The sequence below is a fragment of the Homo sapiens genome, chromosome 2 (assembly GCF_000001405.40).
Source record: "Homo sapiens chromosome 2, GRCh38.p14 Primary Assembly".
Taxonomy (NCBI): domain Eukaryota; kingdom Metazoa; phylum Chordata; class Mammalia; order Primates; family Hominidae; genus Homo; species Homo sapiens.
Window position 1 is genome coordinate 97,181,556 of NC_000002.12, and position 15,854 is coordinate 97,197,409.

A 15,854-nucleotide genomic window follows, 5' to 3' on the forward strand; every position below is an offset into this window, starting at 1 on the left:
ATATGTACATGTGAGTGATTATGTTTCCCTTTTGCTTTTCAGTGTCTTCTCAGAAACAACCAGCTGAGAAGGTAATTAAAGTCTCATTTATATGTTGAACTATTAACTGTATAGTCTATGAAACCTACTTTACATATTGATTATTTTGTTTCAAATCCCATTCAGGCTACAAGTGACGAGAAAGATTCTGTTTCAAATATAGCCACAGAAATAAAGAAGGGACAACAATCTGGGACAGGTAATTTTGCAAAACACATTTAATGTCATGTTCAGTCAAGATAGAAAAGTACTTCTCTTCCCCGAATAAATCAGCAGGGGATTCATTGAAGCTGCACATTCTGATTCAGCAGGCCTGAGATTCTTCAGTTCTCAGGTGACACTGATGCTGCTGGTCTTCGACATGATCTTTGCAATAAGATTATAGACTTCCCCACATTGAAATTGGGAAGAAGAAACGTTGGAGAGCCATTAAAGACATAAGGAGTCAGGGGACAGCATAATTTTGCATTAATTCTACAGCATGTTTTCACCAAGGGAGGAAGGAGAAAGAGATGAAGTATAGATTTTACAGACATCACATCGTATTGCTAAAAACAGATGGGGAAATCATGGTAATAACCCATAAACACTGTAGAACGAGAGCTAAGGAGACCACTGATGTAGCAATGACTTTCCTCAAGGAAGAGGATTGTCAGGCAGGAAGGAGGGAAAATAAGTTATTTATGTAATTTTGGGGTTTCTTCTGAGGAAACCTGAGTTCAGTTGCATATTTGAACATTTTTGTAAAAGAAGCTTTGATTTTGGCTGCTTTAGGAAACAGTGGAAGCAGGAAGGAGTACTAGAACTGGGATAAACCACAGTGACTCATTACTCCTCTTTGTTACTGTTGGGCATCAGAGATATACGTTTTGTTGATATTAGTTATTCAAATGAGATAAACATGAATATGCATATATTGGCTTTGCTTTTCAATTAGCTAACTTTTGGATAAAAATAACAATTTAATGAAAATGCTTTAGAGAATAACATGATATTTTATACCAGACTATTTTAGAAAAAAAAATTAATGGTGAATTCATTAATTGACTTTTAAAATTCTTATTTTCAATGAATATTGGAGGGATTTCCAAATGTCAAAGGTTATTCATATCTAATGCTTGTAGCAACTTTATTTTGTATAAGTATGTCAAATTTGATCATTTATTATACTTTTTGATAAGGTTTATGTATTATATTTGTTGCCATGAGTGGATGAAGAACCTTTCTGTAGCCTAAACTAGAGGACACAACAAATGTAGGCACATTATTACACCACATGGGTTTGAGAAATAAAGAATATTATATTCAGGATTATCCCAACCTATATCCAAGCTGTTGAGGCTGGGCCACTTCCACCGAGGACTCGTGAAGTGTACATTCTACTAAAGTGTCATTGTCATTGTGTACCTCCTCAATTACCAGGCAAGTTAAAAGAGCGTGATGAATACTTGCAGTATAATGGTATAAATCCTTCTGATGTCTTGCATGAAAAACATGCAGTAGCATTTAGTACCTTCTTTGACATTGATTCCTGGGTGTATGAGTTGCTCCTCTGATTTTAGATCACATTTCTTTTCATCATTCGGCATATCCACATTGATATTGACACTTTTTATTTCAGTAATACACACATGATGCATAATACCTCTTTGTAATTTCTGACTGTATATTTTCTGGAAGCGTGTATTCCTGTTTTCTTCAGTGTATTTCCTCATGTTCCCGTCCCAAAGACACAAACTGTAAAACATCAAATCCTACACTAGTGCAGGCAGGAGGATACAGCTTGATGCTAACACTGCATGAATGTATGGATGACTTTGTCATATTTACATATGATGGATTATATATTTCTTTTACTTTTCAGTGTCTCCTCAGAAACAATCGGCCTGGAAGGTAGTTACTCTTTCATTTATATTTTGAATTATTTATTTTATAGCCTATGAAATATGTATTATATATTGACTATTTTGTTTCTCTTTCCATTCAGGTTATATTTAAAAAGAAAGTTTCTCTTTTGAATATTGCCACAAGAATAATGGGTGGTGGGAAATCTGGAACAGGTAATTTGGCAATACACATTTAATGTCATGTGCACTCAAGACAGAAGAGAACGTCCCACCCCTGAATAGATCAGTGGGGTGTCATTGAAAATGCACTTTCTGATTCAGCAGGCCTGAGATTATGCATTTCTAGTAAGTTGTCAGGTGGTGCTGATGCTGCTGGTCCTTGGCCATGATCTTAGTAACAAGCTTGTAGAGTTCCCTACATTGAATTTGGATAGAAGAACCATTGGAAAACAGTTCAAGACATAAGAGGATCGGAGGACAGCATAATTTTTCTCTTATTTCAGAGCATGTTTCTATGGAGAGGGGAAGGAGAAAGAGAAGAAGTAACAGAAATTATAGATGTCAGATGGTACTGCTAAAACCAGAGGGAGGAAGTTGTCATAATAACCCGTAGACACTGGAGAATGAGAAACAAAGTGACCACTGATGTAGTAATTATTTTCATCAAGAAAGAGGGATTGCAAGGCAAGAAAGAGGGGAAGGAAGAAGTTATTTATGTAATTTTGGGGTTTCTGCTGAGGAAACCTGAGTGAACTCACTTCAGATGCATTTAGAATGTTTGCATACCAGAAGATTTGATTTCTGACTGCTCCGATGACTACTGGAATCAGGAAGGAGTGCTAGAGTTGGGATAAACCACAGTGCCTCATTCCTGTTTATTAGTATCAGGCATCAGACATATATTTTTTTTTAGTTATTCAAATGAGTTAAAATTTAATACGATTATATTAGCTTTTTTCCAAAGTGCTGGCTTTTTCATTAAAATAGCTATTTAGTGAAAATTCTTTATAATACAATGATATTCCAGAGTAGACTAATTTTGCAGACAAAAATAATACTAAATGTATTAATTGAATCCTAAAATGGTTATTTTCAGTGAATATTGGACTGATATCCAAATGTAAAAGCTTATTAATATCTAATGCCAGGAGCCATTGCATTTTGTATAAATATGTGTAATTTATTGTACTTTTTGATGAGGTTTATATATTATACCTTCCTGCCATTAGTGGATGAAGAAAATTACTGAAGGCTAAACTAGAGGATACAAGAAATGTAGGCAGATTATTCCACCACATGTGTATGATAAATAATGAATACTATCTACTAGGATTCACCAACCATATATCCAAGCTGATCAATTTAGATCCCTTCCACTTAAGAGACGTGAAGTGTACATTCATCTGAAGTGTCATTGTAATTGTGTACCTTCTCAGTTATCAGGCAAGTTAGAGCATGATGAATGTTTGTAGTATAGTAGTGTAAATCCTTTTGATACCTTGCATGAAAGACATGGAGGATGATGTAGCACCTGCTTTGACATTGATTCTCAGGTGTATGAGTTGCTCCTCTGATTTTAGATCACTTTTGTCCTCATCATTCAGCATATTCACATTGATAGTAACACTGTTTCATTTTAGTTTTAGACATATGAAAAATCATACCATGATTGACATTGTAAGGGTTTATTTTGTGAAACCTGTATTTCTTTTTTTTCAGTGTATTTCTGGTCATGTTCCAGTCCCCAGACACAAAAATCAAAGCCTATACTAATACAGGCAGGAGCATACAGCTTGATGCTAACACTTCATGAATGTATAGATAACTTTATCATATTTACATATGAGTGATTATGTATCCCTTTTGCTTTTCAGTGTCTTCTCAGAAACAACCAGCCTCAAAGGTAATTAAACTCTCATTTATATTTTGTATTAGTAACTGTATAGTCCATGAAACATACTTTCTTTATTGATAATTTGCTTCAAATTACTTTCAGGCTACAAGTGACAAGACAGATTCTGCTTTGAATATAGCTACAGAAATAAAGGATGGACTACAGTGTGGGACAGGTAATTTTGCAAAACACATTTAATGTCATGTTCAGTCCAGATAGAAAAGAACTTCTCTTCCCTGAATAAATCAGCGGGGGGCTCGTCAAAGCTGCACATTCTGATTCAGCAGGCCCGAGATTCTTCATTTGTAATAAGTTCTCGGGTGATGCTGATGCTGCTGGTCTTGGACCTGATCTTCGCAGTAAGATTATAGACTTCCCCACATTGAAATTGGGAAGAAGAAACATTGGAGAGCAGATCAAGACATAAGGGGTTCAGGGGACAGCATAATTTTGCTTTAATTCTACAGCATGTTTTCACCAAGGGTGGAAGGAGAATGAGTTGAAGTATAGATTTTACAGACGTCACATCTTATTGCTAAAAACAGATGGAAAAGTGATCGTAATAACCAGTAAAAATTGTAGAATGAGAACTAACGAGACCACTGATGTAGCAATTATTTTCCTCAAGGAAGAGGGTTGTGAGGCAGGAAGGAGGGAAAAGATGAAGTTATTTATGCAATTTTGGGGTTTCTGCTGAGGAAACCTGAGTGAACTCACTTCGGATGCATTTAGCATATTTACACAAAAAAGATTTGATTTTGGCAGCTCCAGGAACTACTGGATGAAGCAAAGAAAGCTAGAATTGGGATAAACCACATTGACTAATTACTTCTGTTTGCTACTATTAGGCATAAGACATATATCTTTTGTTGATTTTTGTTATAAAAATTAGATAAACTTGAATATCAGTACATTGGCTTCTTTCATCAAAGAGCTATCTCACGGATAAAATAGCTATTTAATGAATATTATTTAGAGAATAGTATGATCCTCCTAACAAGACAATTTTAAAAACAAATATAATGTTGAGTTCATCAACTGACTCTTAAAATGGTCATTTTCAATGAATATTGGAGTGATTTCCAAATATAAAAGCTTATTAATATCCAATGCTTTTAGCAGTTTTATTTAGTAGAAGTATGTCAAAATTGATAATTGATGATGCTTTTTATTGAGGTTTATATATTATACTTTGTGGCCATGAGTGGATGAAGAAATGTCCAGGAAGGCTAAACTAGAGAATACAGGAAACTTAGGCAAATTGTTGCACCACATGGATATGAGAAATAATGAATATTATTTACTCGGATTAAGGAAACATATATCCAAGCTGATCAATTTAGGACACTTCACTGAAGAGACAGAGACATAATGTGTACATTCAACTGAAGTGTCACTGTAATTGTGTACCTTCTCAGTTACTGGGCAAGTTAATGAACATGATGAATGTTTGCAGTATAATGGCGTAAATCATTTGGATATCTTGCATAAAAGACATGTGGGTGCATGTGCCACCTGCTTTGACATTTTCCCAGGTGATTGAGTTTCCCCTCTGATTTTTGATCACATTTGTCGTGATCACTTGGCATACCCTTTTTGATATTGACACTGATTTATTTTTCTTTTAGATATACGAGAAATCATATTATGTTTGAAATAGTTAGGAATATATCGTGGCACATCTATTTCTGTTTTCTTTAGTATATTTGTGTCATGCTCCTGGCTTAAGACATAAAGTAGAAAACATCAAAGCCTACACTAATACAGGCAGGCGGATACAGCTTGATGCTAACACCGCATGAATGTATGGAAAATGTATCATATTTACATATGAGTGATTATGTATCCCTTTTGCTTTTCAGTGTCTTCTCAGAAACAACCAGCCTTGAAGGTAATTAAACTCTCATTTATATTGTGAACTAGTAAATCTATAGTCTATGAAATATACTTCATTGATTTATTTATTTATTATTTTCTTTCAAATTCCATTCAGGCTACAACTGACGAGGAAGACTCTGTTTCGAATATAGCCACAGAAATAAAGGATGGAGAAAAATCTGGGACAGGTAATTTTGCAAAACACATTCAATGTCATGTTCAATCCAGATAGAAAAGAACTTCTCTACCCCTAATAAATCAGCGGAGGGCGGGTGGGGGGGCTCGCCGAAGCTGCACATTCTGATCCAGCAGGTCTGAGAGTCTTCATTTGTAATAAATTCTTGGGTGACGCTAATGCTGCTGGCTTGGAACATGATCTTCGCAGTAAGATTATACACTTCCCCACATTGAAATTGGGAAGAAGATATATGGAGAGAGGTTCAAGACATAAGGGGCTCTGGGGAACAGCATAGTTTTGCTTTAATTCTACAGCATGGTTTCACTAAGGTGAAAGGAGAAAGAGAAGAAGTATAGATTCTACAGACGTCACATAGTACTGCTAAGAAAAGACAGAAAACTGATAGTAATAACCCATAGACACTGTAGAACGAGAACTAAGGAGACCCCTGATGTAGCAATTATTTTCCCAAGGAAGATGGATTGTCAGACAGGAAGGAGGGAAAAGAAGTTATTTATATAATTTAGGGGTTTCTGCTGAGGAAATCTGAGTGAACTCACTTCACACGCATTTGGAATATGTGCCTAAAAAATATTTGATTTTGGCAGCTCCAGGAATTACTGGAAGCAGGAAACAATGCTAGAATTGGGATAAAGCACACTGACTCATTACTCCTTTTTGTTACTATTAGGCATCAGAGATACATGTTTTGTTGACTTTACTTATAAAAATGAGATAAAGTTGAATATGAATACATTGGCTTCCTTGTTCAAGGAGCTACCTCTTGGATAAAATAGCTATTTCATGAAACTTCTTTAGAGACTAACATGATACTCCCAAGAATGCTATTTTAGAACAAAAATTATGTTGAATTCTAATTAACTCCTAAAATGGTAATTTTCAATGAATATTGCAGTGATTTCTGAATGAAAAACTGATTAATATCTAATGCTTGTAGCAGTTTTACTTTGTAGAAGTATGTCAAAATTGATAATTGATGATATTTTTATTGAGGCTGATATATTATGCTTTGGTGCCACGACTGGATGAAGAAATTTTCGGAAGGCTAAACTAGTGGATACAAGATACTTAGGCAAATTATTACACCACATGGGGGTGAGAGATAATGAATATTATCTACTAGGTATCAGCAAACAGATATCCAAGGTGATCAATTTAGGACACTTCCACTGAAGAGATGTGAAGTATACGTTCAACTGAATTGTCGTGGTAACTGTGTGCCTTCTCAGTTATTGGGCAAGTTAAAGAGCATGATGAATGTTTGTAGTACAATGGTGTAAATCCTTTTGATTTCCTGCATGAAAGACATGTGGGATCATGTAGCACCTGCTTTGACATTGATTCTCACATGTATGAGTTGCTCCTCTGATTTTAGATCACTTTGTCCTCATCACTCGGCATATCCACATTGATATTGACACGGTTTTATTTTAGTTTTCGACATATGACGAATCATACCATGTTTGAAATTGTAAGGATATATTTCATGGAGCCTGTATTCCCTTTTACCAGTGTATTTCTGTCATGTTCCAGTCCCAAGAGACAAAGTAGAAGACATCAGAGCCTACACTAGTACAGGCAGAAGGATACAGCTGGATGCTAACACTGTGTGAATGTATGGATAACTTTATCATATTTACATATGAGTGATTATGTATCCCTTTTGCTTTTCAGTGTCTTCTCAGAAGCAACCAGCCTTGAAGGTAATTAAACTCTCGTTTACATTGTGAACTAGTAATTCTATAGTCTATGAAACATACTTCATTGATTTATTTATTTATTATTTTCTTTCAAATTCCATTAAGGCTACAACTGACGAGGAAGATTCTGTTTCGAATATAGCCACAGAAATAAAGGATGGAGAAAAATCTGGGACAGGTAATTTTGCAAAACACATTCAATGTCATGTTCAATCCAGATAGAAAAGAACTTCTCTACCCCGAATAAATCAGCGGAGGGTGGGTGGGGGGCTCGCCTAATCTGCACATTCTGATTCAGCAGGCCTGAGAGTCTTCATTTGTAATAAATTCCTGGGTGACGCTAATGCTGCTGGCTTGGAACGTGATCTTCGCAGTAAGATTATACACTTCCCCACATTGAAATTGGGAAGAAGATACATGGAGAGAGGTTCAAGACATAAGGGGCTCTGGGGAACAGCATAGTTTTGCTTTAATTCTACAGCATGGTTTCACTAAGGGTGGAAGAAGAAAGAGAGGAAGTATAGATTCTACAGACGTCACATAGTACTGCTAAGAAAAGACAGAGAACTGATAGTAATAACCCATAGACACTGTAGAACGAGAACTAAGGAGACCCCTGATGTAGCAATTATTTTCCCAAGGAAGATGGATTGTCAGACAGGAAGGAGGGAAAAGAAGTTATTTATATAATTTAGGGGTTTCTGCTGAGGAAATCTGAGTGAACTCACTTCACATGCATTTGGAATATGTGCCTAAAAAATATTTGATTTTGGCAGCTCCAGGAATTACTGGAAGCAGGAAACAATGCTAGAATTGGGATAAAGCACACTGACTCATTACTCCTTTTTGTTACTATTAGGCATCAGAGATACATGTTTTGTTGACTTTACTTATAAAAATGAGATAAAGTTGAATATGAATACATTGGCTTCCTTGTTCAAGGAGCTACCTCTTGGATAAAATAGCTATTTCATGAAACTTCTATAGAGAACAACATGATACTCCCAAGAAGGCTATTTTAGAAACAAAAATTATGTTGAATTCTAATTAACTCCTAAAATGGTAATTTTCAATGAATATTGCAGTGATTTCTGAATGAAAAACTGATTAATATCTAATGCTTGTAGCAGTTTTACTTTGTAGAAGTATGTCAAAATTGATAATTGATGATATTTTTATTGAGGCTGATATATTATCCTTTGGTGCCACGACTGGATGAAGAAACTTTCGGAGGGATAAACTAGTGGATACAAGAAACTTAGGCAAATTATTACAACACATGGGTGTGAGAGATAATGAATATTATCTACTAGGTATCAGCAAACAGATATCCAAGGTGATCAATTTAGGACACTTCCACTGAAGAGATGCGAAGTGTACTTTCAAGTGAATTGTCATGGTAATTGTGTGCCTTCTCAGTTATTGGGCAAGTTAAAGAGCATGATGAATGTTTGTAGTACAATGGTATAAATCCTTTTGATTTCCTGCATGAAAGACATGTGGGATCATGTAGCACCTGCTTTGACATTGATTCTCACGTGTATGAGTTGCTCCTCTGATTTTAGATCACTTTGTCCTCATCACTCGGCATATCCACATTGATATTGACACGGTTTTATTTTAGTTTTCGACATATGACGAATCATACCATGTTTGAAACTGTAAGGATATATTTCATGGAGCCTGTATTCCCTTTTACCAGTGTATTTCTGTCATGTTCCAGTCCCAAGAGACAAAGTAGAAGACATCAGAGCCTACACTAGTACAGGCAGAAGGATACAGCTGGATGCTAACACTGTGTGAATGTATGGATAACTTTATCATGTTTATATATGAGTGATTATGTATCCCTTTTTGCTTTTCAGTGTCTTCTCAGAAACAACCAGCCTTGAAGGTAATTAAACTCTCATTTATATTGTGAACTAGTAAATCTATAGTCTATGAAATATACTTCATTGATTTATTTATTTATTACTTTCTTTCAAATTCCATTCAGGCTACAACTGATGAGAAAGATTCTGTTTCGAACATAGCCACAGAAATAAAGGATGGAGAAAAATCTGGGACAGGTAATTTTGCAAAAGACATTTAATGTCATATTCAGTCCAGATAGATAAGAATTTCTCTTTCCTGAATGAATTGGCCTGGGGCTCGTCGAAGCTGCACATTATCATTCAGCTGTCCTGAGATTCTTCATTTGCAGTAAGTTCTTGGGTGATGGTGATGCTGCTGGTCTGGAACATGATCTTCGCAGTAAGATTATACACTTCCCCACATTCAAATTTGGAAGAAGAAATATGGAGAGCAGTTGAAGACATAAGGGGCTCTGGGGAACAGCATAATTTTGCTTTAACTCTACAGCGTTTTCAGTAAGGGTGGAAGGAGAAAGAGAGGAAGTATAGATTTTACAAACGTCACATCGTACTGCTAAAAACAGACAGAAAACTGATTGTAATAACCCATAGACACTGTAGAAGGAGACCTACGGAGACCCCTCCTGTAGCAATTATTTTCCCAAGGAAGACGGATTGTGAGGCAGGAAGGTGGGAAAAGAGGAAGTCATTTATATAATTTTGGGGTTTTTCCTGAGGAAACCTGAGTGAACTCACTTCAGATGCATTTGGAATATTTTCATAAAACATATTTGATTTTGGCAGCACAAGGAAATACTGGAAGTGGGAAACAATGCTAGAATTGCCATAAAAACACACTGCCTCATTACTCCTGTTTGTTAGCATTAGGCATCAGAGATACATGTTTTGTTGATTTTAGTTATAGAAATGAGACCAACTTGAATATGAATATATTGGCTTCCTTGTTCAAGGAGCTACCTCTTGGATAAAATAGCTATTTAATGAAACTTCTTTAGAGAATAACATGATACTCCCAACAAGGCTATTTTAGAAATAAAAATTATGTTGGATTCTAATTAAGTCCTAGAGTGATCATTTTCAATGGATATTGGAATGATTTCTGAATGTAAAACTTAATAATATCTAATGCTAGTAGCAGTTTTACTCTGTAGAATATGTCAAAATTGATAATTGATGATTTTTTATTGTGGCTAATATATTATCCTGTGGTGCCATGAGTGGATGAAGAAACTTTAGGAAGGCTAAACTAGTGGATACAAGAAACTTAAGCAAATTATTACACCACATGGGTGTGAGAGATAATGAATATTATCTACTAGGTATCAGCAAATGGATATCCAAGGTGATCAATTTAGGACACTACCCCTGAAGAGATGTGAAGTGTACGTTCAACTGAAGTGTCATCATAATTGTGTGCTTTCTCAGTTATTGGGCAAGTTAAAGAGCATGATGAACGTTTGTAGTATAATGGTGTAAATCCTTTTGATTTGTTGCATGAAAGACATGTGGGATCATGTAGCACCTGCTTTGACATTCATTCTCAGGTGTATGAGTTTCTCCTCTGATTTTAGATCACATTTGTCCGCATCACTTGGCATATGGACATTGATATTGACACAGTTTGATTTTAGTTTTTGACATATGACAAATTATACCATGTTTGAAATTGTAGGGGTATATTTCATGGAGCCTGTATTCCCTTTTTTCAGTGTATTTCTGTCACGTTCTAGTCCCCAGACTAAAAGTAGAAGCCATCAAAGCCTACGCTAATACAGGCAGGAGAACAGAGGTTGATACAAACACTTCATGAATGTATGGATAACTTTGTCATAGTTACATATGAGTGATTATGTATCCCTTTTGCTTTTCAGTGTCTTCTCAGAAACCACCAGCCTTGACGGTAATGAAACACTCATTTATATTGTGAATGAGTTAAGGTATGGTCTATGAAACATACTTTATTAATTTATTATTTCATTTGAAATTCCATTCAGGCTACAAGTGACGAGGAAGGTTCTGTTTTGAGTATAGCCAGAGAAAACAAGGATGGAGAAAAATCTAGGACAGGTAATTTTGAAAAGAGATTTAATGTCATGTTCAGTGCAGATAGATAAGAAGTTCTCTTCCCTGAATAAATCAGCGGGGGGCTCGTTGAAGCTGCACATTCTGATTCAGCAGTCCTGAGATTCTTCATTTCAAATAAGTTCTTGGGTGATGCTGATGCTGCTGGTCTGGAACATGATCTTCGCAGTAAGATTATACACTTCCCCACATTGAAATTGGGAAGAAGAAATATGGAGAGCAGTTCAAGGCATAAGGGGCTCCGGGGAACAACATAATTTTACTTTAATTCTCCAGCTTGTTTTCAGTAAGGGTGGAAGGAGAAAGAGAGGAAGTATAGAATTTACACACTTCAGCTCGCACTGCCAAGAAAAGACAGAAAGCTTGTTGTAACAACCCGTAGACACTGTAGGAGAACTAAGGAGACCCCTGGTGTAGCAACTATTTTCCTAAGGAAGACGGATTGTGAGGCAGGAAGGTGTGAAAAGAAGAAGTCATTTATATAATTTTGGGGTTTCTGCTGAGGAAACCTGAGTGAACTCACTTCAGATGCACTTGGAATATTTTCATAAAAAATATTTGCTTTTGGCTACTCCAGGAACTACTGGAAGCAGGAAACAATGGTATAATTGGAATACACCACACTGACCCATTACTCCTCTGTTACTATTAGGCATCAGAGATACATGTTTTGTTGATTTTAGTTATAAAAATCAGATAATCTTGAATGTGAATAAATTTTGCTTCCTTGTTCAAGGAGCTACCTCTTGGATAAAAAAGCTATTTAATGAAACTTCTTTAGAGAATAACACGATACTCCCAACAAGACTATTTTAGACACAAGAATGATGTTGAATTCCAATTAACGCCTAAAATAGTCATTTTCAATGAATATTGCAGTGATTTCTGAATGAAAAACTGAGTAATATCTAATGCTTGTAGCCATTTTACTTTGTAGAAGTATGTCAAATGATAATTGATGATATTTTTATTGAGGCTAATATATTATCCTTTGGTGGCAAGATTGGATGAAGAAACTTTCAGAAGCCTAAACTAGTGGATACAAGAAAATTAGGCAAATGATTACACTACATGGGTGTGAGGGATAATGAATATTATCTACTAGGTATCAGCAAACAGATATCCAAGGTGATCAATTCAGGACACTTCCACTGAAGAGATGTGAAGTGTACGTTCAACTGGAGGGTCATCGTAATTGTGTGCCTTCTCATTTATTGGGCAAGTTAAAGAGCATGAAAAATGTTTGTAGTATAATGGTGTAAATCCTTTTGATTTGTTGCATGAAAGACATATGGGATCATGTAGCACCTGTTTTGACATTGATTCTCAGGTGTGTGAGTTGCTCCTCTGATTTTAGATCACATTTGTCCTCATCACTCGGCATATCCACATTGGGATTGACACGGTTTTATTTTAGCTTTCGACACATAAAAAATCATACTGTGTTTGAAATTGTAAGGGTATATTTCACGGAGCCTGTGTTCCCTTTTTTCAGGGTATTTCTGACATGTTCTGGTCCCCAGACAGAAAGTAGAAGCCATCAAAGCGTACACTAATACAGGCAGGAGGACAGAGGTTGATGCTAACACTGTGTGAATGTATGGATAACTTTATCATATTTACATGTGAGTGATTATGTATCCCTTTTGCTTTTCAGTGTCTTCTCGGAAAAAACCAGCCTTGAAGGTAATGAAACTCTCATTCATATTGTGAGCTAGTAAACGTATAGCCTATGAAACATACCTTATTTATTATTTTGTTTCAAATTCCACTCAGGCTACAAGTGATGAGAAGGATTCTTTTTCGAATATAACCAGAGGAAAAAAGGATGGAGAAATATCTAGGAAAGGTAATTTTGCGAAACACATTTAATGTCATGTTCAGTCCAGACAAGAAGTTCTCTTCCCCGAATAAATCAGTGGGGGGCTGGTCAAAGATGCACATTCTGATTCAGCAGGCCTGAGATTCTTCATTTCTAATAAGTTCTTGGGTTATGCTGATGCTACTGGTCTGGAACATGATCTTCACTGTAAGATTATACGCATCCCCACATTACAATTGGGAGGAAGAAATATGGAGAGCAGTTGAAGACATAAGGGGCTCTGGGGCCCAGCATAATTCTGCTTTAATTCGGTAGCATCTTTTCATTAAGGGTGTACGGAGAAGGAGAGGAAGTACAGATTTTACAGACGTCACATCGTAGTGCTAAAAACAGACAGAAAACTGTTCATAATAACCCATAGACACTGTAGAAGGAGAACTGAGGAGACCCCTGATGTAGCAATTATTTTCTGAATGAAGACGGATTGTGAGGCAGGAATGTGGGAAAAGAGGAAGTCATTTATATAATTTTGGGGTTACTGCTGAGGAAACCTGAGTGAACTCACTTCAGATGCATTTGGAACATTTGCATAAACAATATTTGATTTTGGCAGCTCCAGCAACTGCTGGAAGCAGGAAACAGTGGTTGAATTGGCATAAAAACAAAATGACTCATTACTCCTCTTTGTTACTATTAGGCATCAGAGATACATATTTTGTTGATTTTAGTTATAGAAATGAGATAAACTTGAATATGAATATGGTGGCTTCCTTGTTCAAGGAGCTACCTCTTGGATAAAATAGCTGTTTAATGAAACTTCTTTAGAAAATAACATGATACTGCCAACAAGGGTATTCTAGAAACAAAAATTATGTTGCATTCCAATTAAGTCCTAGAGTGATCATTTTCAATGAATATTGGAATGATTTCTGAATGTAAAACTTATTATTATCTAATGGTTGTGGCAGTTTTACTTTGTAGAAATATGTCAAAATTGATAATTGATGACATTTTTATTGAGGCTAATATATTATCCTTTGGTGCCATGAGTGGATGAAGAAACATTTGGAAGGCTAAACTAGTGGATACAAGAAACTTAAGCAAATTATTACACTACATGGGTGTGAGAGATAATGAATATTATGTACTAGGTATCAGCAAAGAGGTATCCAAGGTGATCAATGTAGGACACTTCCACTGAAGAGATGTGAAGTGTAAGTTCAACTGAAGCATCATCGCAATTGTGTGCCTTCTCAGTTATTGGGCATGTTAAAGAGCATGATGAATGTTTGTAGTATAAAGGTGTAAATCCTTTTGATTTGTTGCGTGAAAGACATGTGAGATCATGTAGCACCTGCTTTGACATTGATTCTCAGGAGTGTGAGTTGCTCCTCTGATTTTAGATCACATTTGTTCTCATCACTCGGCCTAAGACATTGATATTGATACGGTTTTATTTTAGTTTTCGACACATGAGAAATCATGCCATGTTTGAAATTATAAGGGTATATTTCATGGAGCCTGTATTCCCTTTTCTTAGTGTATTTCTGTCATGTTCTAGTCCCCAGACACAAAGTAGAAGCCATCAAAGCCTATGCTAATACAGGCAGGAGGACAGAGGTTGATGCTAACTCTGCTTGAATGTATGGATATCTTTGTCATATTTATGTATGACTGATTATGAATCCCTTTTGCTTTTCAGTGTCTTCTCAGAAACCACCAACCTTGAAGGTAATGAAACTCCCATTTATCATGTGAACGAGTTAATGTATGGTCTATGAAACATACTTTATTTATTTATTATTTCGTTTCAAATTCCATTCAGGGTACAAGTGACGAGGAAGATTCTGTTTTGGGTATAGCCAGAGAAAACAAGGATGGAGAAAAATCTAGGACAGGTAATTCTGAAAACAGATTTAATGTCATGTTCAGTCCAGATAGATAAGAAGTTCTCTTCCCCAAATAAATCAGCGGGGGGCTCATCGAAGCTGCACTTTCTGATTCAGCAGGCCGGAGATTCTTCATTTGCAGTAGGTTCTTGGGTGATGCTGATGCTGCTGGTCTGGAACATGATCTTCGCCGTAAGATTATACACTTCCACACTTTGAAGTTGGGAAGAAGATATATGGAGAGCAGTTGAAGACATAAGGGTCTCTGGGGAACAGCATAGTTTTGCTTTAATTCTCCAGCTTGTTTTCAGTAAGGGTGGAAGGAGAAAGAGAGGAAGTATCGATTTTACAGACCTCACATCATACTGCTAAAAACAGACAGAAAACTTGTTGTAATAACCCGTACACACTGTAGGAGAACTAAGGAGACCCCTGTTGTAGCAATCATTTTGCCAAAGAAGACGGATTGTGAGGCAGGAAGGTGTGAAAAGAGGAAGTCATTTGTATAATTTTGGGGTTTCTGCTGAGGAAACCTGAGTGAACTCACTTCAGATGCATTTGGAATATTTTAATAAAAAATACTTGATTTTGGCTGCTGCAGGAACTGCTGGAAGAAGGAAACCATTCTGG

General features: G+C 36.2%; 1 protein-coding gene across 50 annotated transcripts in view; it reads left to right on the forward strand.

The window, feature by feature from the left end:
• ANKRD36 (ankyrin repeat domain 36) overlaps window positions 1-15,854 on the forward strand; it is a 151,369-nt gene that overhangs the window by 68,403 nt on the left and 67,112 nt on the right. For 30 of the 50 annotated variants that reach the window (XR_007074204.1, XM_017004009.2, NM_001354587.1 and 27 more), the window contains 18 exons: window positions 43-71; window positions 166-238; window positions 1,904-1,932; window positions 2,027-2,099; window positions 3,761-3,789; window positions 3,883-3,955; window positions 5,643-5,671; window positions 5,774-5,846; window positions 7,532-7,560; window positions 7,663-7,735; window positions 9,423-9,451; window positions 9,554-9,626; window positions 11,303-11,331; window positions 11,426-11,498; window positions 13,171-13,199; window positions 13,290-13,362; window positions 15,038-15,066; window positions 15,161-15,233. Coding sequence is in view for 49 of the 50 variants with exons in the window: in XM_017004009.2 (XP_016859498.1) it covers window positions 43-71; window positions 166-238; window positions 1,904-1,932; window positions 2,027-2,099; window positions 3,761-3,789; window positions 3,883-3,955; window positions 5,643-5,671; window positions 5,774-5,846; window positions 7,532-7,560; window positions 7,663-7,735; window positions 9,423-9,451; window positions 9,554-9,626; window positions 11,303-11,331; window positions 11,426-11,498; window positions 13,171-13,199; window positions 13,290-13,362; window positions 15,038-15,066; window positions 15,161-15,233 (918 nt within the window). In the remaining variant the exon portion in view is untranslated. The remainder of the gene's footprint in view (window positions 1-42; window positions 72-165; window positions 239-1,903; window positions 1,933-2,026; window positions 2,100-3,760; window positions 3,790-3,882; window positions 3,956-5,642; window positions 5,672-5,773; window positions 5,847-7,531; window positions 7,561-7,662; window positions 7,736-9,422; window positions 9,452-9,553; window positions 9,627-11,302; window positions 11,332-11,425; window positions 11,499-13,170; window positions 13,200-13,289; window positions 13,363-15,037; window positions 15,067-15,160; window positions 15,234-15,854) is intronic. The other 20 variants (XM_017004013.2, XM_047444240.1, XM_047444236.1 and 17 more) reach the window with 14 other exon arrangements.